Source organism: Homo sapiens, chromosome 13 (genome assembly GCF_000001405.40).
Source record: "Homo sapiens chromosome 13, GRCh38.p14 Primary Assembly".
NCBI lineage: Eukaryota > Metazoa > Chordata > Mammalia > Primates > Hominidae > Homo > Homo sapiens.
Window position 1 is genome coordinate 107,594,339 of NC_000013.11, and position 23,413 is coordinate 107,617,751.

Here is a 23,413-nt window from a genome sequence, read left to right on the forward strand (position 1 = left end):
AAATAAATGCTTTACATCAATTTGAACAGTGAACTATGTAGTCAATTAGTTTGCACAATCAATATTACCAATCTCTCCCTGTGTCTCTCCTTCCCTCTTATCTTCTCTCTTTTGTCTCTTTCCCCCAATCCCCTGTGTCCCTGTGTGCAGGTTCGCATGCCTGTATGTATTTTTTCTGCTAAAGTAATCAGTGTGGCATATTATCAAGGCATTGTACATTTACTGTCCTTCAAAGAAACCTAAAACAAATACTCCACCCAATAGTGTTTATGAAAACAGGAAACGATAAAAATAGTGATGGCCAAAACAATTTTATATATTCATATAAGTTTGTGTTTAAAGCATAAAACCTCTTACAATAGTATTTGAGTGACCCAAAATCAACTGTGACAATTTTCTTTATTAGTGAGAAAACTAAAGTAAATTAATATTGTTTTTCCTTTTAGAAGGATATGTTGAAATGGTGCTGTCACACTGACAACTCTGTTAAGCCCAGCATTCACAATGTACCCTTGTAACAAATCTATACACGTATATCTGAATCAAAAATTAAAAATTAAAAAAATAGAAAAGGAAAAAAGAAAATTTTGGCAAAATATTTGTGTCCACTGAGTTGCCTGTACACTTTCAGATCCATAGTTTATCTTTTATGATTATATAATTTCAAATTTTAAATATCCCAATAATTAATTTAGCATGTTATTATTTTAGCATGCATACAGATACACACATAGTTAGAAAGCGTTCAAGGAACATGAACAGACAAGACAGCGACCACGGTCCCAGAGAGGTTTAATATCAGAGTAAGGGAAAACAGAAATCTTTCAGTCTCTTTAAATCAACACTTTCAACCTAGTCATTTGGAAATTGTCAAACCATCCATAATCATGGAAAAGTTTATCTTCTAATTAATTGGAGTCTATCTAATCTACCATATAATGAGAACATTATTCTAATCATAAGAAACACAATTCTTTTACAAAACAATTTAAATAATAAGAATGGGTTCAGGGCATCTCTTCTCTTGTCCATAAATTTTAGTATATTAAAATTGTTAAAAGAGAGTATCTCATATGTTCTACTGATGGCACTAGAAACACAGTGGTATAGAATGCTGAGGAACATTTTTCTAATATTGCCTGGAAGCTTATGCTTTTCATGGCCCACCATCTACACATGCTTCATTTCATAACAAGCCAAACTAGTACTAAATAATTGCAGTTGCATAGCTGATTTCATTTTTATATAAGCAAGAATGGGCTTATTTCTAATGCATACTTTCTAATTGCTATATTTTCCAGATAATTGCTTTTTAAGAAGATAAATGCAAAGATTTTATAAACATGCCCTGCCTAATATAGCTGTCACATGCATCATCTGTGACCATGAGTGATGGAAAAGTGAAAACTCAGAACAATTCCAAATAACTGCAAAATCAAGGCTCAAGTAATGCAGCCTATTTTAACAGAAAGAGTTCAAGCGTCCTGCTCAATAGATGATCATGTGATCTCTCTAACACCATTTTCTGAAATTTGCCCCTTACTGGCATAGTGTACCCTCTGACTTTTCTGCCTAGGTTTTGGATATTGCTGGGGCTCCAATTGGTATATTTAGCCACTGGTCACTGACATACCAAAACAAAAAAAGAGTAATATTAAAGGTTGTGGGGTGGAAACTGCCAAAACCCAGCTGTGTATGTGGAAGGGGAAGGTATCAGTCTTCGAGGGCAATGGAGAGAAAATTATCTTCAGTGGAGGAGGAATGATCTGTGGGAGAAGGCACCTCAACAAATACAAAGTAGTGGGAATCTTGCAATATTAAGGTCTCTGTCAATCTCAGGAAGCTACAGCCTCTAAAGAAACTCAAGTGCCTCCTCATAAGAAAAGGGAATTTTCTAGTTCAGCCATTGTGAAAGACAGTGTGGCGATTCCTCAAGGATCTAGAATCAGAAATACCATTTGGCCCAGCAATCCCATTACTGGGTATATACCCAAAGGATTATAAATAATTCCACTATAAAGACACACGCACACATACGTGTATTGCAGCACTATTCACAATAGCAATGAATTGGAAACAACCCAAATGCTCATCAATGATAGATTGGATAAAGAAAATGTGGCATATATACACCATGGAATGCTATGTAGCCACAAAAATGTATGAGTTCATGTCCTTTGCAGAAACGTGGATGAAGTTGGAAACCATCACTCTCAGCAAACTAACACAGGAACAGAAAACCAAACACTGCATGTTCTCACTCATAAGTGGGAGTTGAACAACGAGAACACATGGATACAGGGAGAGGAACATCACACACCGGGGCCCTGTTGAGGGGGGTGGGGGACTAGGGGGAGGATAGCATTATGAGAAATACCTAATGTAGATGATGGGTTGATGGGTGCAGCACACCATATGGAACATGTATACATATATAACAAACCTGCCCATTCTGCACATGTATCCCAGAACTTAAAGTATAATATATGGAAAAAGAAAAGACAATTTTCATTCGTGTTCATTTCTATTTTTTTCCCATGTTGGCAGTATGCTCAATGTTATACTTATTTAGAGAAAGATATCATGCCTGTTATTTTAAGGAACTGAACTTTTTGAAGTCATTTCAAGTCACTTAAAAACACAATGATGATTGGAACTTCTAGGTATGCAACTCTATTTCCCCTGCTTCAGTTTTCTATTTGCTTGAGACATTTCGATATATTCAAATTGAGACAGACCTTAAATGATATTTTGCATAGAGGGTGTTACGTTTCATACATGCCCTCAGAAAATATCAGCAGTGCTTTTGTAGATAAGGTGAATAAACAGATTTTTCAGTCAATCCTTGAAGAAGTCTATGTTATCAAAGACATTAGCATAAAGCAGCAGGTGTATTACCTTAATGCTTTATGGCTTCTACAAATAATGCACATACACACACACACAAATGTGTACTCGCACACGTACACACATGACCCTCCTGCATAGGTACAGGAGGTAAATTAAGAAACATAATTCAAATTATGCTTTCTGTACAAGATTTAAAGAATGTCTACAGTAGGTTCTCCTATGTAGTATTTCATCTCCCACATAATTACTTTGAAGCCTCTCCTTTTATATAATGACAGTGACAATGCATGAATTTTTGTGTGTGCATTAAGGTCTAACCGAGACTATCAATCTCATACACATCAAATTATATCTTCCCAGGGCTTTTGTTCTTATAAATAATAGAGGTAACATAAAGGGTACTGAATTGTGTAAATGGCTTCCTTCTAGCAAAATAATATAAAAGCTTACAAAAGAAAAAATAGTCAATATTAGATAGTACAATACAATTGTAAACGACAGTAGAAACTTACTGAGACCAAACCTATGAATATCTAAATTTTAAATGAAAATCACTTTTGCTGCTAATTGTAAGAATACATAATTATTTTAAAAATCAATCAAAAAGAATAAAATAAAAAGTACAATTTATCCACAACATTATGTAGAAAAATATCTCAGTTGTTTTTCATCTGGTAGTTAATTACTACTTAAACCAAATTTTCATCTCTGTTAAGAAGCTGTAGGAAACTAACCCCTTCAGGAAGTACAGATAAGAAAATCATCATGACATTCAAAATTCAAGGTTGAAGATTATATGTTACAGTGACAATTACAAGACTATAACTTGGCAATCAAATTAAACTAAATTTTTCTAGGTAATGTGATAGTATCCTCTATAAGACTTAGGGATATGCCTAGATGGTAAAACCTAGGTTAGTATTTTGCTCTCTGTCCAGAATTTGCTCTATGGACACACACAACATGCACACACAATACACACACAGGCATACACACAACACTAATTTGTCATAGATGTGTGATTTCCTTTCTATTTAACTTCACATTTTGAGCACCAATCCCTCTTGGTTTTCCACCTTTATCTTTGGTAACAATCCCTTTTTTCTTTGCTGAATCCTCATGTTCCAATTTCTTAATACACGAGTAGCTCAAGATTCAGAACTGAAATGCCTATGCTCATGTTTTTAAGTAATCACTGTCAGTCCCGTAGTTTTAAAATAATTTATAGACTGATGTTTCCCAAATACATACCTCCAGTCCTGGATTTTCTTGCTTGAACACCAACCTCATAGACCCAGTTGCTAAGGAAAATCATTAACGGGATGCCTAATGTGCATATCAAATTTAATGTGTCTAAAACCAAAGTTATAATTCTTCCTATCTCCAGAATGTGCCTTTCTCAGACTTGTTTATAAGCAGAGTAGAAATTCCATTATTCTAATTTCTCTGGCTAAAAATTGCAATCTATAATCCTCTGACACCATGCTTTGGAACTGGTTCTTCTGCATAGGATCATCTTTCTTCGTGTCATTTCATGGTTTGCACTCTTACTTACTCAGGTCTCTGATCAGCATCATTTTATAAGAGAAGTCTTAAAAGGCCACCTTACCTGAGGCAGTGGCCTTCTCCCTCCATTATCATTATTTACTTACTCTAGCTTATTTTTCTTCTCACTTATCATGATCTGACATAATTTTCTTCCAAGCCAAATTACATTTGGGACTTTGTGTTGGTGTCTTCTTGCTTTTTGCTGCTCTTCCCGCCAAGACTAGAAAAGTACATAATGCTCAATAAACATTTATCAAATTAAGGAATCAAATCATTTTGTCTTATGTCCCATAGTATGAGTTTGTCCTAAGTTATTTTACTGAACATTTGTGTTGTTTCCAAATTTTCACAACAAAGATGCCTCAAGGAATTTCTTTAGACATGATTCTGAGCACATGCAAGAAACCATCTCTAGGGATGTGCCTACAAGTAACATTATATTGGGAGGCCGAGGCGGGCAGATCACGAGGTCAGGAGATGGAGACCATCCTGGCTAACACGGTGAAACCCCGTCTCTACCAAAAAAATACAAAAAATTAGCCAGGCGTGGTGGCGGGCATCTGTAGTCCCAGCTACTCGGGAGGCTGAGGCAGGAGAATGGCATGAACCTGGGAGGCGGAGCTTGCAGTGAGCCAAGATTGCGCCACTGCACTCCAGCCGGGGCAACAGAGCGAGACTCCGTCTCAAAAAAAAAAAAAAAAAATAACATTATTAGGGTATGGTGTATCCAATCTCATCTTTGAAAAATACAGCCAAATTGCTCTCCAAAATTTTGCACCCACTCCAGCAGTTTCTGATGTCCCATTTTTCTACATTTCAGCCAATATTCGTTATTGCTAGATTTTTTAATTTTTGTAAATCTAATGAGCATAAACTAACATTTTATAACTTATTTTTACTTCAAATTCATTTCCAAATTATTAGTGAAGTTGAACACTATTTTATGTTCTCTTGTTTCTGTTTTGCCTATCCAGTCTTCTGTGAATTTTAACTAGTATAATGGGATAAGAAGCTAAAAATATTAATTATCATAAATACAATAAAATATGACTTGGTTTCTTTATCTAAACAAGTTGTATAGAGTATGTTAGGGTAATCATACCTGCATTCCTGTAGGCATTTGGTAAATCCCAGGCTAATTACATGGGTCATAAAATATATCTAGTTGTGTACAACGAGTCATATTTAAATAATTTTGATCATTTCCCCACTATATGGCCTAACTCTGATATAATGTTATTATTACTTGAATGATACCATCACAGCTTATGAAACAAGATCACAAAAACTAGATAAATATCTCAGTTGCTTTTCATCTGGTGGTTAATTATAACTTAAATAAAATTCTCATTTTTGGTTAAGAAGCTGTAAGAAAGTAGCCTCTTCAGGAAATATTGTAGGTAAGAAAATCACCATGGCATTCAGAATTCAAGGTTGAAGGTTGTGTGTTACAGTGACGATTGGAAGACAGCAATGCAGCAATAAAATTTCATTACGTTTATCTAGGTAATGTGATAGTATCCTCTATAAGACTCAGGGATACACAATAGGAAGCAAACAAGAACAGGGCAATGTTAGCTTTGCAATGTCTTCCTTATATTATCAATATTTTAGAGTTAGAATGACTTAAGATTTTCATCCCACAAGGAAAGACGCCAATTGTACAGAAAGTTAATAAAAACAGACCTCCTCAAACTATTATGTAGGTTAATGTCTTTTAAAAAATGGCCAGATATTCTAACTATGTTATTTTAATAAGGTTTTAATTCAATATTCATAAAAACAAAATATTTCAATGTTTTTTTGAATAGCTAACTTACTCCACAAACTGAGATACTGGCTAAGTCACATGTTTATTGTGTATCAGTTACTTACAGTGGTCGGTGCCTGTTGGATGCTTACCTAGGCACTAAGCCTGGCTCTAGAAAGAGAGGTAAATAATATTAACTTATATAGACCCTCATTCAGAAACATACAGGTGAATAAGAGATAAAAACAATAAAAGTAGCTTGAGATTTAAAGGAGCACAATGAATGATTGCTATATCATTAGTACTTTGAAATATTCCTGACACTTAACTTGACCTCGATAGTATTTGTTGAATGAATGCAGAAAATTACATGACTGCAGGGACTTGAAGGATGATTAGAAGGTATTTTAGGCAAGTGCCTAGTAAGAAATGAGTTTGTGCTATTGGGTGGGTCAGGGCAATCCCAGAGGAAGTCCTGACAGATGGAGAGCTGATAAAGGAAAACAGATATAAGGGAGAGGTATAAGTCACGGTAGGTCTTCCTAATCATGTGAAGGATTTCTCTCTTTACCTAAGAAAAATATAGAGCCCTGAAAGCAATGTCAGTTGGGGACCAGCATGTGTGACTGCCCTTTAGAATGATTGCTGTAGTATCCATTAGGCAGTGGGCCAGATTGTGCAATGCTCCCCGACCTCAGATTGAAGAAACCCACAAGGAGTCTAAAGCCCCACTTCAGGCTGGAGGTGATGGGGAACTGAGCTGAGACTGTGCTGACCAGGATCGAGGTGGATTCCAATGTAAGAATTCCCCTAGAACACTTAAACGCAAATTTGGGAACTTGAAACAATCTTGTAGATTATTTTACTCTCTTTTTAAAAGAGAATTGTGGACATTGGGCTGAGAGATGGAGCGACTTTTCTTGAGATATGTATCCAACTTTCCTATCAACACTACTTTCCTGTGCTCTTCTGCAAGAATGGATTCAGCTCACCTCTAGGCGCTCACTACAGACCAACCCAAATGCAGTTAGAATTCACAGTTTTTATCAGGAGGCTTTGTTTGTATTTTGTAAGCTAAATTATTAGATTACCTCCTGACTATAATTTCTCAGGGTGTAGGAATATCCTAATAAAGCCAATGTCTTCATCACACTTTTCAAAGAACTAAGGCAGTGTCTCATTCGCAACTGTTTTAGGGTATTCTCTTTTTTCATAAGTAGTGTTTTGGGGATTCAGAGATGAATACAAAACAAAACACACACACACACAATAAAAAAAAATCACTATTGGTAGGAAAAAGGTGGAAATAGAGTATGTTTCTTCATATAGACATATTCTTAGCTAAAAAAAAAATGCTGTTACTTAAACCCAATATCAGTTTTACCCAATCGGAGAGAAATTACTGAGGCTCCCTCCCTTCCTTCCTTTTCCTTCTATTTCTCTCTCCCACTTCCCTATCCTTTTTTGTTTTAATGCGACAAATTTCCCATTGTTTCCTTGAACATTTTTTCTTCAAATTCAATATGACTTGGACAATTTCCTAAAAATAAAGCTCATGATTTAATTGTATAGAAAGGTCTCTGAACTGCATCCAATACACCTATGTTCTAACTTCAGCTTTTCAATCAGAAGATCTATGTTTTTCAGTGAGTTTTAAACTCCTACGGCTTTAATGATCTTATGTAATAAATGACAGGTTTGGCCAAGAAGATCTACAGATTATTCAGTTCTAACCATCTATGAAACCAGGAAAATTGAATCTAAAAATCTATATACTCAGATCATAAGAGGGAAGTCTTTGTAAGCACTGTGGTTAGAAAGCGGCTGAGAATAAGCTATTTAGAGAGAAAACATTGCCTGTTATAATGTAAGGCACACTCGACTAAAATAACATCTGAGATCTCTCCAGAGTGTCTCTGCCACCCCTACTTTGGGGTCCTTGGCCCAGTCACTCAACCTCCCTAAGATAGTTTTCCCATCTTTTAAAGGGATAACGTAAAGTTGTTTCTCTGTCTCAAATACTTCAGGCAGATCAAATAAAAAACAATGATAATCAATAATGCAGGTATTTATATCATGGTGACATGGCTTATTAATATTTTCCTATTTTCCTTAAATGTTACACAACAAATTTCCAATTGCATTTGAGTTTGCCTTTAAATAATTAAGGAGTGCTTAAAAATTTAACACTTAGTTTGATTCTATAAAAGGTTTAATTCATTAAATTATTCCTTCGCGTCTAACCCTGGAATCCACATGCTTATATTTGCTAGTTTTCATATGGATCCATCCACCTTGCCAACGCCATCGATAGCCTTGCAGGACCAATAAGCATAAACAAAGACACAGAATTCTCTATGCTTATATGTCATTATAAATACATCCATATATGTATATTTAAAATTTTATCTTCTTGAGTAATTTTGTGGCAAATCTTTCTCTTCTGCATGAAGAAGGCCTAGTTAGTGGAAAAACGGACAGGGCAATTTCGCAGCTCTCTTAACATAGACAGACTCTCTGGTCTCAGTCATGTCTATAAAAGGAACTTTTATTAAATTGAAAATCATTTCTGATTAAAATTTCTTTTTATGAAAATCTTACTGCTTATTGTTTTATAAAGCAATGCTAAAATTAACAAAAACGATCATTTTTATTTTTCATTGTACTGATATGCAATTTAATTATTAGTTTTACAATTTAGACACTGCTGAAATGTTATTGCAAAAAAAATTTCTAGTTAAAACACATTTTCTCTTCTCATTTTCCAGGTGACTTTTGGACTCATGACTCCATTTGCTGTTAGCTGAAAATTTATAGAGGTAACAATTCATTTCCTAAGAAGAAAGATTGCCATGTGCTAGCCAAAATTGCTCAAATATAAGAACTTACTCTCAATCAGAAAAGTTGGCTAAATATGAGAGGTTCTTTTTATAAATTTGAAGCAATAATGAGTTATTGTTTTTAGAGATAAAAGTCATCAACATGCACATAGTACAGTCTAAAATTAGTGATACAGGCTTATTTTTAATATACCGAAGTATATCAAAACAAAAAGATAAAAATGGATTAGCCATTATCATATAAAATGTACACTCCTCTCCTTTTAATAACAGATGAGTAATGAACACATTAACAGAGAGGCAATTTAAAATCTGACTATAAAAACTAAATTGAAGAAGATAGTGAAGATTAAAACTAAAATCCTTGGACTATCATGTGGGGCACCAGTGAACCATGGTATCTGTGTCTGCTGCTCCATTTTCTATATTTCCATCTGTGACTCCAAATGCCAGCAGGATTCTGGTGAATACACTTATCTGTTTTAAAAATGACTTGCTTTTTGCACGTTTAGACACTCTCATGACATACATTTCTTAAGCTGTGCATGAGGAGATTGTTCCACTTTGTTGCCCTGGAGTAGGAGGAACATAGCAAGAGGTGACACATACCAGTCACGTGCAGGAGGCTGTGTTTTAACTCAAAGAATTTATTTTTAATTGAGGTAAAAGTCATTCTCAATTTCGGATCTTCCAGAAATAATTGGTTCTCTAACCATATTCAAAGACAGAAATGATTCATGTAGCTAAAATATGTCTAAGCCATCAAAAAAAGCATTCGAGCACACAAAAGTTAAAATATTAATACCGTTCCTCCCCCATTTTCTAAGTCAGTGACCTTTAGATCAGAAATGATGTACTCCTTATAACTGCATTCTTGCCAATAATCGTTTCCCAAATGCAAGCATACTAAAATTGCTTTCATGCTGTTTAGAGGGCTTAGGGGCTACATTTAAAATTGGTGGCTTTTAATCCAAATAATTATTTTGTCTTTTTTTTAAATCTACATTTAGAATTCAGTCTTTTTCCCCCTTTCTTTCTAAGGAATTTAGAAACTATTTTCTCATTTGTATAATTAGGCATTTTAGAAGAACCAAAATGAAAATACTCAAAGCAGTGTAATTCCAACCTGAATGAGTGGATTTTTCATTTCTTGGGAAACGTATCTGAACAAAACATTGCTGATTTCAGAAAAGTATAGGATGCATTTCAGTTAACATGTCTGATATTCTTTTGGAACTCAGTTGAAAAGGCAAGTAAGAAAGTTATTCTCCACAATTAAGGCTGGAGAATTAAACATGATATGAAAGAAGAGGGAGAATATGGCATGTTCCCTCATTAATATTCCATAATGTCTTTATTTTAGAAATTTAAGCTCACAGTATGAAACTTATCTCAGAATAATTTCTGTGCTACTTCCAAGCTACCCGGTGGTGGTGGCCAGTGGGTGACATCATGAAGCTGTGCCGCAGCCTCAAGACCATAGCTGAATTCTTGTAGGAACAGACATCAGCAAGTCCCCCTCTCAATCTCATGTTAGCCATGAGATCGTGATAATACTACAGGTAATAATTGTGAGAGCTTTCATTTTTCTGAGTGCTTACTATGTGCCAGACCCTATGGCATGTGTTTTACATGCATCTTCTCATTACAAGAAAGTATACTCCAAACTTGATACAGTATGTTTGCAGTTTACAGGTAAGAAAACTGATGATTAGAAATTCCATCATTTGTCCCAGGGCGCAGAACAATTGACTCATGGAGTTTATCACACATTGGCTCTAGAAACGAACTCTTAGCTGCTGCAATACCCAAAAGGATGATTTAAACAAAAAGCTTGTCAAGGCATGGCTTTCATTTGTGACAAAGACATCATTTAATACAATCACATTAATAATATTCTGTGTTTTCCTTAAGTCAGAATTCTAAGAACTTGAATGTGCTTCCTTTCCAGTGAAATAGTTGAAGCTATTACTGTTCATGGCATTAAATATGTAATACATCCTCCTGCTCTCTTTCCAGCTTCATCAGGCGTCATAACCAACTGTTCCTAAAAGAAGTGGAGACATTCTCCTTCCTTCCGGTTAACTAATTCGGGACTTGGCTTTGCAGATTCATAACAGAGACGACGACAAATTCATTATTAGGCCTATTTACTTAATAGCATATTATCATGTTTTTGTTTTTATTATTTCTATTATCTATTAGTTTTTGTTATGGGTATCACTTATGGGTTTCACAGGAAAAAAAAAGATTAAAGAAAGCAGAACTTTATTCCTAGGAAGGAAAAAATTCTAACTTGATCCTTCTTGGAAATTTCCATCTATGTACATATGACACTAAAATGTTCTATAGCCTAAAAATGTGGCTTATCTTTCCATATGGTGCTTTTCCAAAGAGCTAGACAAGGGTGTTGCAGATTAAACAAAGTGGGCTCAAGTCCCTGCTGCTGGGAAACATCCTCTCTGTACAGTGAAACATATTAGTTGAAGAAAACATTTGTTGAAACATTTTCCAGCAGACAACCTGTTCCCACGCTGAGAAGCTAATGTCTTGCCCCTTATGCACCAGTTAATTCATTCCAAAAACACAGGTAGACCCAGCCAGGCTGTATCATTGAAATAATTATCCATCAAGGGATGCAAACCTGGGAGTGTTTCAATTTTGGGATTCAATAGCCAGATCTCCAAAAAATTTCCCGAAATACCCTACAGCACACAAGTCTTCATTTATATATACAGTGCAGGCAAAATGTGTTTTCCATTGCCTAAATTCACATGTACATTCAAAAGCCCCAAAATGAGCATTTTACAATCCTTGTTACAAAAATTATTATGACAATGGTACTAGTGAGCACATGGATCAAATCAGGTAGTAGAAGTGGATCTGCTACTCCCTAAGGAAACATGCTCAATCTTACCAATGTTGTGTTCCTTAACATCTCATATATATATATATGTGTGTGTTTGTGTGTGTATGTATACATATATAGATGTGTGTGTTTATATATGTATATACACACATATGTATATCTTATTTATTTATATATATATATATTTTGAGATGGAGTCTTGCTCTGTCACTGAGACTGGAGCGCAGTGGTGCAATCTCTGCTCACTGCAACCTCTGCCTCCAGGGTTCAAGCGATTCTCCTGCCTCAGCCTCCTAAGTAGCTGGGATTACAGGTGCCAGCCACAGTGCCCAGCTAATTTTTGTATTTTTAGTAGAGTCAGGGTTTCACCATGTTGGCCAGGCTGGTTTCGAACTCCTGACCTCAGGTAATCCACCTGCCTCGGCCTTCCAAAGTGCTAAGATTACAGGCATGAGCCACTGCGCCTGGCACCTTAACATCTCTTGAGAGGAAACATTTCAAAAATATTTGTTGACAAATTAAAAAAAAATTACACTGTAAACTTAATGCAAAATTGGCTTTCAAGCTGAATAGTGAGTTGGTTGGTTGGTTGACTCCATATTTTCTGTGCTATGATATTACTGAGGCACCAGTGATTTAGAGTACTTGAAAACAAAATCTATCTGTCCTGAAAAGTGAAATAATTGATTATTCCTGATTTGTCTCTATTCCACAGAAATTTAACATTGCTAACATTATCAAAGGTATCATTTGCACTTTGCTCTGCTCTAGGCTGCTTATAATTGGAGGTAATTCATTTTCTATTATTCTGAAGGCAGATTCTTATTATATTTATACATTGGTGCAAAAGTATTTGTGGTTTTTGTCATCAGTTAATGGCAAAACCGCAATTACCTTTTGCACTCAATCTAACAGATTTCAGTCATTGCATTTCTAGAAAATACTACAAGGGCCCAAAATGTAGGAAACCTAAATCCAATCCAGGTCGAAGACAAAAATCCTATTGAACTTATAAAGTAATTCTAATTGAACAAAAATAAGAGTACTGCATAGTAAAACATTAGGAATTTAAGTACGCAGGTCTTAAAAGATTGTAGGCTTAAATTAAATAAATGAAAGATTATAAATAAGCAAGCCAACATTTAATTCACAAGCCTGAAAAATAAACATATGGATAATGCAGAGAAAGAAGGAAGAAATAAGTAATGAAACGAATATAGATTTAATAAATTAGAAGGCAAAATAAGAGATATTTTCAAAACACCAGAGGAAGGTTCTTCGAAACTAGTAGTAAATTAGAAAATCTTCAAGCCAAAATAAAGTTGTTGTTGTTGTTGTTTTTCCTTGTAAAGAGAAGTCCAAAATATACACTAAACAGAGGGTTATTATTTCTTTGGCTTAAAGACACCCACTTAGGAAGCCCTCACTCCTCCCTCCTGCTCTGTGATATCGGGGTGTCTCCCTCTCAGAGGCAAAATAATGCCTCGGAGTTGAGAACCCTGGGTTGGAGTCCTGGTTCTCTCACTTACTAGCTGTGTGACCCTGGGCAATTTACTTAACTACCCTTGCCTTACTTATCATTTCTTTCAAATGAGAAAAATACCGGAAGCCACCACACAGGGCTTCATGAGAATTTGATGGGCAGCATTTGTAAAGCAGGGAAAACCACACCTGTAACAGTGAAAACATAATTAGTCTATAAATCCATTCCCCTAATCTTCCTCTACAGAAGGATGAGCGTTCTGTCATGGACTTCACTGTCTACACTGAAATGCTGGACTACAAGCACCTCTATGTGAAACTCTGCCATTTTCTTAATTTCCATCTCATTATTTTAAAACATTTCTACTAATTCTTGACATTTCTCCCATTAAAAGGTAAGGTGTAATTTCTCTCCCTCTAAGTATGAAACAACTTTAATGTCTTATTTTGATGAACAGAATGTGTTGGAAGTAACGTTACGTGGCACCTGAGATTAGGTCATTAGAGGTAAAACAGCTTCTCCCAGCTCTCTTGTGGGAATCATGCCGTTGGGATCCAGACATAATATTGTGAGAAACCCAGGACACGTGGAGAAGGCACATGATAATGTTAAGCCAAAAGCACTCACTACAGATCCAGCCAACAGCCAGTGTCAATGATCAAATACATGAATGAAAGAATCTACAGATAATTCCAGGCCCCCTATTGCAAGTTGGAGGAGAAATGAACTGAGCCTACAGAGATCTGCCCAATATGCAGACTTATGATAAAATAAATATTGTTTTTAAGCCATTAGGTTCTAGGGTGGCTTGTTACACAGCAATATATTACCAGCACAGACTTTGTTACTTAAAGGGGAGTTTTGCCATGTCCAAAACCCTAAAATACATACGAGTAGCTTCCTGATTGGGTGGTTGGGGGAAGCCACACTTGGTGACATACAGCTAATTCTAGAAGTGTAAGCAACGGTTGCAGGGCACTTACTATATGTCGAATATAATTAAGCAACTTGAAAATTGAAGAGAAAAAACATATGATTGTGTTGACTCCGAAAAAAATAGAATTCATCCCCAAGGCTAAGGATGAGGCTACTTCGCCAGTGAAGGAAGAGGTGAACGGCATCCTTTGAAGCAGGATCAGACCCAGCCCGCAGAGATGGAGAGTGACTCTGCTGGAAGGAAGGCAGGTGAGGTTAAGCTAACGATGCTGCCGTGGGTTCCACGCACTCAGCAAGAGTGGGACACCTGTGCTGGGCCGGGCACCAGGGATGGTGCCGAGTGGGGCAGAGGCCTGCCTTCAAGGAGTTCACAGTGAACAAGATGAGAAGGGCTGGGCCCTGCAGGGTCAAGAGCCCCAGTTGTGTACAAGACACTTTGGGAGGAAAGAAGACTACCTTTTCTTTTCCCCCTGCCGTTGGTATAGCTGGTGCCCCAAAACTTCCACCTCCCTCCCTGGCCACCTCTAAAATGATTGGTATAGGTCCTGCCCTACCCCTTAGCTCCCCTATCCTGGGCTAGAAGGCCAGAGGGGCTGTCCTCTAGAATTCTTCCTCCCCTCTCCCACACCATTCATTCAGTTCATGAAACAAATCTTCGCCGAGAGCAGTTTATGTGCCAGGAACATCATTCTGTCCTTGCAACCTGGAACAAGACCAGCTACCACCCTAGCTTCATCCCCTACTTGCACCAACCAGTCCCGGGTGAGATCTCAAATGCTAGAAGCCAGGGATGCCCAACTCTGGGCGGCCCCAGTCAGAACCTCTGGGATCTCAGTGAAGCTGGCCTGGCCTCTGCTCCTGCTCTCAAGGGGCTGCTTTTCAACCAAGAGCCTTGTGAGCCTGGTCTGAGCCTTGCACAGCCACTGAGTATTTTTTATTCCTTAGCCAGTGTACCTCCTACCTCAGTCTATGTGAGAGGAAGAGAATGTGTGTCCCTGTGGGTCTCCGCAAGTGACAGACGTGTTGTTTTTAACAGTATTATTAGGTTATGATTAAAGCCTCATGAAATCCTCCAAAAAAAATGTTGAATTCCATAAAATTTCCCTCCTTAAAGGAAAATCTTAGCAAACTGTTGTCAAAGAATATCATAGATTCAAAAGACAAATAATATACTTGGATAAAATAAATGCATGTATATCCACATCACAGACAAATAATAATTACCAAAGATGCATCTATATTTACATGAATTAACAGGCATATACATATGTGTGTGTGTTTCTCAAAATCAAAATTTTAAAAGGGGAAAAATAGAAAAACAAATGACAGGAGGAAACAGAAGAGAACTTCCAAATAGCAAAGAGAATATAGATAAATGATGATGATTGATAGACAATCAACTTTAGAAGTGATGAAATGAATACAAATGAAAATTACAATGAAATGCTTCCTGTCTGCTCTCAGATTTACACAAACGTAAATGGTCTAAAAAATTAAATGAGGATAAAGATATGGGGAAAAATAAACTCACAGCTGTTACTAGGGAAGAGGAAACTGGTACAGCTACTTTGACAAGCACCTGGGCAGTATCTAATGTAACTGAAGATGTATGTATTACATATGACCTATCTGTTCTCCTTGCAAGAGTATACACTAGACAATCACTCACATTGTACGAGAAGACTGGAGAGTTAAACAAGAGTACCCATTACACCAAAATTTATTAAAGAAATTCCAAAATATCTACTTACCTTAGTGGATGAATAGATGATTTAAACACTTAAAAGAAATATTGTATATATTAATGAAAAGATCTCTAAAACATAATTTCAAGTAAAAAAAAGACAGTATGATACAGTGAGCATTTTGTCATTTATAAACTTTAAATAGACATGAAACCATGAAATATGTTGTTTCTAAATACAATATGTGTGCAGATGTTTGAAAATTGTACTAGGACGATACATGTCAATTTATGATAATACCAGCCTCTGGATTCTCAATCATGGTTTAAGAGAATTTGAACATTATTTGTATCATTAAAGTTAAGTTATATGAAAATACTTGAAAATAAATATTGTTTAAGTGGAAATGAAACAGAATGGTCTCTGGAAAGTAGAAAATGGGTTCATGAGCCTATGCGCAGGGAATGATAAACCTACGTCCGTTGTGAAAAATCCTTAATTCTAAGAATATTATTTGAGGATGGACAGAGTCAACACGGAGGTTTCCTTTTCATCAGTGGGGGACCAGGGGCTGGGCGAGCTGACACTAGTGTTGAGAATGACATTGGCACTGTGTGGAGGAGGTAGGTGTCAATAAAACCCAACCGTATGTTTTGAAAATGATGCTGCAGGCCACGTATAGATGAGTAGGAAGGTGGAAGGAGAGAAAGAAGTAGAGGACAGGGAAAACGGAGCACTCTCCGTGCTACAGTCTAGATATCACAAGAGCAGAAACTGCCCTGCAGGTGTAACCATTTTTGTGTGATACTTTGTGTAATTATTTCATTTTGTTCCCCTCCTGGTATTTAGCAGTCCTTTAAAAAAAATGTCAGTCTGTCTCAGCTGTGCTAAGGGAAAACAAGGAAAGGCGTTTTAGTCAGAGCTTGAAACGGAGTCCTCTGTCGGTAGGATGGTAAAATGGTGCAGCTGCTGTGGAAGACAGTACTAAAGTTCCTCAAAAAATTAAAAATAGAATTATCATATGATCCAGCAATCACACTTCTGGACTTATATCCAAACAAACTGAAAACAGGATCTGGAAGAGAGATGTGCACATTCATATTCACGATAGCCAAAAGGCAAAAACAACTAGAGTGTCCATTGATGGATGAACGGGTAAAGCAAATGTGGCACATAAATAACATGGAATATTATTGTAGCATTTAAAAACAAGGAAATCTTGTCATATACTACAAAAAAGATGAATCTTGAGAATGTTATATTAAGTAAAATAGGCCAGTCACTAAGGAAAACTAATGGGTTGAGTGCAGTGGCTCACGCCTGTAATCTTAGCCACTTGGAGAGGCAGAGGTGGGAGGATTGCTTGAGGCCAGGAGTTCAAGACCAGTCTGGGCAAAAAAGCAAGACCAAATTTCTACAAAAAGTAAAAAGAAGAAAAAAAAGCAAGAGAGAGATAAAAAAAGAGAACAAAAAATTAGCAGGGAATGGTGGCATACACCTATAAGCTCAGTTACTTGGGAGGCTGGGTTTGGAGGATTGCCTGAGCCCAGGAGTTCGGGGTTACAGTGAGCTAAGATTGCACCACTGCACTCCAGCCTGGATGACACAGCCAGACTCTGTCTCAGAAGAAAGAAAGGAAAGACAAAAAAGGAAGGAAGGCACGAAGAAGAAAGAAGAGAAGAGAAGAGGAGAGGAGAGGAGAGAGACAGGGAAAGAGAGAGAGAAAGAAAGAGGAGGCAGAGAAGGAGGGAGAGAGGGGAGTGGGGGGGAGAGAGGGGAGTGGGGGGGAGAGAGGGGAGGGGGAGGGAGGAAGGGGAGGGGGGAGGGGAGGAGGAGTGGGGAGGGGAGAGGGTGGGAGGGAGAGAGGAAGGAAGGAAGGAAAGAAAACAATAATGCATGATTCCAATTATATGAACAATCAGAAGTTATTAAACTCAGAGAAAACAGAAATTTGCCAGGGGAGGGGAAGAGGAAAAAAGCAGGGTTGCTGTTCAGTAGGTATGAAGCTTCAGCCACGCAAGACAAAAACGTTCTAGAGATCTGTTGTATAACTATGTGCATATAGTTACCAATACTGCAATATACATTTAAATGTGATTGGGGGTGTGATTCTTCATTTTATACGTCGGCTTGCCTGGGCCATGGATTGCCCAGACTCTTGGTCCCACATTGTTCTGGGTGTGTCTACGCTAGTGTTTCTGGATGAGACTAGCACTGGTATCGGGAGAATGAGTAGAACAGCTGGCCCTCCCTGCTGTGGGTGGGCCTTGTGCGATCAGTTGAAGATCTCAATAGAACAGAAAGGCAGAGTCAGAGAGAGCTCCTCCTCCCTGAATGAGGTAGGACATTGCTCCTTCCTGACTTTTAAACACAGGCGGGTATACTGGCACTTCATGGACTTCAAGGCTGCCAGCATTTGGACTGGCACTGGCCCTCCTGGTTCTTAGGCCTTGAGACTCCAGCTGGAAATATTCATTGACTTTCTTGCCTGCTGCAGATTTTGGGACTTCTCTTCCATAATCACACGAGACATATTTTAAAAATAAATCTCCCTTTCTCTCATAGGATAACTATTTGTCTATCTAACTATCAAATAGGACATACACCTCTATTCACAGCCTATTGGCTCCATTTCTTTGGAGAACCCTGAAGAACAGAGAGGGCAAATTTATGGGTTTTTTTGGGTTTTTTTCCCACAATGAGAAAAAAAAAAAAGAAAAGAAAAGAAAGAAATGAGTCCCGCCTCCCCTGGAGGAAGGGAGCAGCCACAGGGATGGGCATCAAAGGTGAGGACTCAGATCACAGGGAAAGGTGAAACTCCCGGGGAAGATTCCAAACTTGCAGTTATGTTTTGTTTCCTGCTTGTTCTACTCACAGACACTAACTTTGGAGCTTTTTTCCTAATGAAATTGCAAATATTTTGTTATGTTTAATCTTGAATGAAGAGGCAGACTGTTATATTAAGAGGCAACCAATGTCATTCCATCTTTTCTTACTACTGAAAACATTACAAAAAAGAAACCTGAAAATTGGCAGGTAGGCGGCCTCCGCAATAACCCTGACTGGGTAAATTCTTTCTCTCTCCAGGCCAACTGGGGAATGCCTTTCTTGAGGGTGCTGCAGACTGTGGTCAACAGTGGGATATTCAACTCATCATTTTTCCTCCAAAGTCAATGGAATATAACAACCAATTTACTATCAAAATGGAGTGATTGAAATTAAAGTATAAGTTTTATAAAATAGCTCTGTACTTCTAGATTTCAGTCCATGTTTTATTTGAACTACCTTGGTTTTCTTATTTCTGGGCCCTGACTCCATCCAGCCACATCAGAAAAACAAATCACTACTTTATCTGTGTGCCTGTAATTATTTGCAAGGATTTAATCCAGTTACTGCATCAAGTTATTTCAGTTAACACAGCATAGCGCTTAGCACAAAGTAACTATTCAATAAATAGTTGTCAAGACAAACTGGAATAGGTTTTCTTGGAAACAACATAGAATGTAGAAATAAAAATTTTATCCTATTTCTTATTGGGCAGAAAATGGAGAACAAGAAATCTACACTCATGGAGTGACCATTCTATGCAGGTGCTACGTTCATTCCTTCCTGTTGGCAAGTCACTTAGTTCTCATAGCAACCCTGAGCAGTAGACACTATTGATATTTCTGTTTTAAAGATAAGAAAATTGATACTCAGAAAGGGTAAGTACTGACCTAGCTTTTCCAAGATGTTTTCAACTGTGTTCATCTGTAATATTTCTTGTTTGTTCACTTTGCTCATTAGATTTGAGAGGAGGAGTTTAACGCCAGATGTTAGATGACTTTGAGTATGGGCATAGGGATGAGACCTTTTGTCAGAGAAAATACCAAATCTCTCATATCACAGCAAGATCAAAAAATCTTGAAACACATACTCACTTACCTAAAAGTGATCATTTTAAGCAACCTAATAACGCCGCCTTGTCTAACATCATCAAGGATTGGAGAAATGCTTCTCTACATCTAGTCTTTTTGTAAGTACATGTGTTCTTGTTAAACAGGCCAGGTGTTGTCTGCATCTGTCTCCTATATCCTGAGATTCTACTATGAAGACAGAAGACACAGTTTGCATCTTAGGTCTTTTACTTACTCTTTGTGTGATCTTAGGCAAGTCACCTAAACCTCCACCCACATTTCCACATCTATAAAATGAGAATAATAATGGAATACAATAAGGCTGATATGAAGATTTGATAAGCTAATGTTTATAAAGTCCTTAGAACATTATAAGTGCTGGGAAAATAGAAAACTGCTGTTTAAATTTTCATTAAGTAAACAAATATACCAACTATTCTCTGGATAAAGATGGGAGTTTGTCCTTGGATCACATATACTCTTATTTCTACTCTGAAATATTGAAATGCAGGCACCTCTTTTTGAAACTTTGCCCTTTCCCTAATTTCAATCCTGCATCTCTTTTTTTCTTTTTTTTTTTTTCTTTCTTTTCTTTTTTTGAAGACAGAGTCTCGCTCTGTCACCCAGGCTGGACGGCAGTGATGCAATCTTTGCTCACTGAAACTTCCGCCTCTCGGTTCAAGTGATTCTCCTGCCTCAGCTTCCTGAGTAGCTGGGATTACAGGCACCCACCACCACATCTGGCTAATTTTTGTATTTTTAGTAGAGAAGAGGTTTCACCATGTTGGCCAGGCTGGTCTTGAACTCCTGAGCTCAGGTGACCCACCTGCCTCAGCCTCCCAAAGTGCTGGGATTACAGGTATGAGCCACTGTGCCTCGCACATCCTGCATCTCTTTGTTTCTGACCATAGACATCTGAATATGATGCCAACATTACAAAAATAAGTTGACATAAACTTGACCTATTCATCGTCCTCTTTCAGTTCAACTAACACTTTATACATTCATATTTTTTTCCTATGAAGGGACAAAAATGACATCTCTGAAGATGCCTGTCCTCTCTATAATGTCACAGTCCTTTGTCTACAGTAGGTACTCAATAACAATTAGCCTCTATTTTCCATTCTTTTGCCCCTGGTACCATGTTGGCGGGTCTGCTCCCTTATGGCTTGCTCTTACCCTGCCTTTCGCATAATTATTTTCCCCATGACTATCCCCCTGTCAAAGTCTCATGATTGTTTCACAAACCCTGCATGAATTCACAAGGTCACCTCTGTTTCTTATAATTATCTCCCCGTCAACTCTGGTGGCACCTATGGCCTATAAGATGATGGTGTGCCAAAATATTGATCCCCTTCGCCTTCAGAGCGAGGTCATAACCTGGAGTGTGTGGATCCCATAGGCCAGCCACTTCCTCTGAACCAGCTTCATTAACATTGTGTACACACAAACTAACTCTCTGTGTGCCCTGATATAAAAAGGGTGGGGTGCACTGGTCCATACTAGTCATTTGATGCTTAGAAATTATCTTGAATATATTTTCTTTTACACTAGGTAGGCATTCTTCTAGGTTAAATTATAAACCCTCCTAAGAGTGATAAATATTATCACTTATATCTTCATCGAGCAGCAATATGGTATCTGCTTGGTGAAATGTGTTTCTTAAAGCAAGTCTCCATGGCATGAGTGTAAGTCTTAACTTTGCTAGTTAAAAGCCTTATGGTAAGTTAGACATCCATAATGCCCAATCTGTAAAGTCCTAATCTGCTAAGAGTATAAACTGATGTCCTCCACACAGGACTGGTTTGAGAATTAAATGAGCAAGTGTATCTGAAGGTCCTGTCGCACAAAAATTTGCAATAAATGACACCACCTCTCTTAAGTAACTTCAAAACTATTGCTGAAGATAAAGAAGATGTGAAATTAATACCTGCATAAACAAGATGGAAACTTCCTGGAAAAGAAACATCTATTTAAAAGTTAAAAATAAAAGTTTATCATCATAGAAAATGAAAATGTAAATGTTAAGATTAAAATTCCAACACACTCACACAGCGTTTACGTTTAAAGTGGGCATCATTCTCTAGCTGATTTCTGTCAACACGCTTTCCTAATGATTAGCCTATTCTTTGTGAGAACTTTCCCCTCACACAGAGATCCCATCACATTGCATAATAATCCAAGGACATTTGCCACTTTTAACAAAGTCTAAGTGTTTGGGGTTTTCTTTTGCCATACAGGTTGTAAGCAGAACTTATTTTTAATGTCTATTTCAAAACCATTTATGTGTTATTTTTGATGGAAATGTGTTAAAATTGAAAACAAAATACAGATTTGGTTTTGAAACAGAAACCAGGAAAGCCTCCTGCAAACACACAGGCTACAAGATTGAATTCAGATAACAAGATCCTTACTCTTCCTTCTTTTAGTCCAAAGCAAATGTCAGTAGCTGCTATTTCATCCCTCCTTTGTAGAACAAATGCCAGACAAGCTGACATATGGAAGACACACAGTGCTTTGAGGTCATCCGAATATTGATAGAAGTAAAAGGACAAGTCAGTCCCCATGCAGCCCAGTACTCCCCACCCCACAGTGCATTGAGCATGGCCAGCAACAACCAACTCCAAAACGCCTTGCTGCATCCACCTGCTCCTGGATGACACTAAAACTAAAAACACTCAGGTGCTGTCTGTGGATTGAAATGCAGAAATAACCGCTAGGTAAGGAAAAATAAAAATCTCTTATAGAGCAAATTTTTCCATATATAATATGAAACATAATGTCTACAAAGAATTATTTTCAATACAAAAATGCCATGGTTTATATAAAATAGTGTTTTTCCAGTACTATAAATAGATGCACATTTAAGCTAACTTCATAACAGATATCTTCAGTTTGTCTGGAATTTAATCATCCAAATAAAAGAAATAAGGTATTTTACATCTTAAATCTTGCATCTTTAAATTGGAACATATTCATATCCTTCAGAACTGAAGCATAAAGATGTTTTAAAATACAAACCTGGTATCCATCCTAGGAAGCAAGCTGGGTATTCTCTAGGACATGGGGCCCTGTTTTGTGAAGAGGGAGAGGGAGAGGTCTGATTAAAGGGGTCATTTAATTTATGATCTGTAGATTTCATTCAACTGTCTTACCAGAGAATCATTCGTAACAGTCAATCTACCAAAGGATTCTATGTTTGGCTTTTTTCTTTTTGCATCAATAAAGAAGAACAACATCCTTCCTAGGCACATTATTTACTTAACAACTTAAAGAAGCTTATTGAAGATTTTGATCCTATACACCTTTATGTGAGATAAGAAAAATCTGTTCTCAAAAATAAAAAATATCTGACCACCACCGCAGTGAATGGTGAAGGACCCATGAGAAAGAACTCAGTGGGTTGAGAAGACAACAACTAACTCAAAAGCCACCAACTGAATGAAAACAATAGGCTAAGGCAGGAAAGCCTGGTAGATAAAGCAGCATAGGCAGGACAAGTGCAAAGAAGGCAGCTGGAGAGGAAAACAAAATAAATCACTTGTTTCAGGAGTGC

At 37.3% G+C, this 23,413-nt stretch overlaps 1 protein-coding gene across 1 annotated transcript in view, besides 1 other annotated feature; it reads right to left on the minus strand.

The window, feature by feature from the left end:
* The window catches only part of NALF1 (NALCN channel auxiliary factor 1), a 703,987-nt gene that overhangs the window by 430,829 nt on the left and 249,745 nt on the right, over positions 1-23,413 (minus strand). The window lies entirely within an intron of this gene.
* Positions 7,566-7,735: an enhancer, noted in NCBI's record as "experimental_31732 CRE fragment used in MPRA reporter constructs". NCBI's record gives its function as "activates a minimal promoter by MPRAs in K562 erythroleukemia cells, with activity observed for both the introgressed and non-introgressed 13:108254337 variant alleles {active_cell/tissue: K562}" and the evidence as "EXISTENCE:reporter gene assay evidence [ECO:0000049][PMID:34662402]".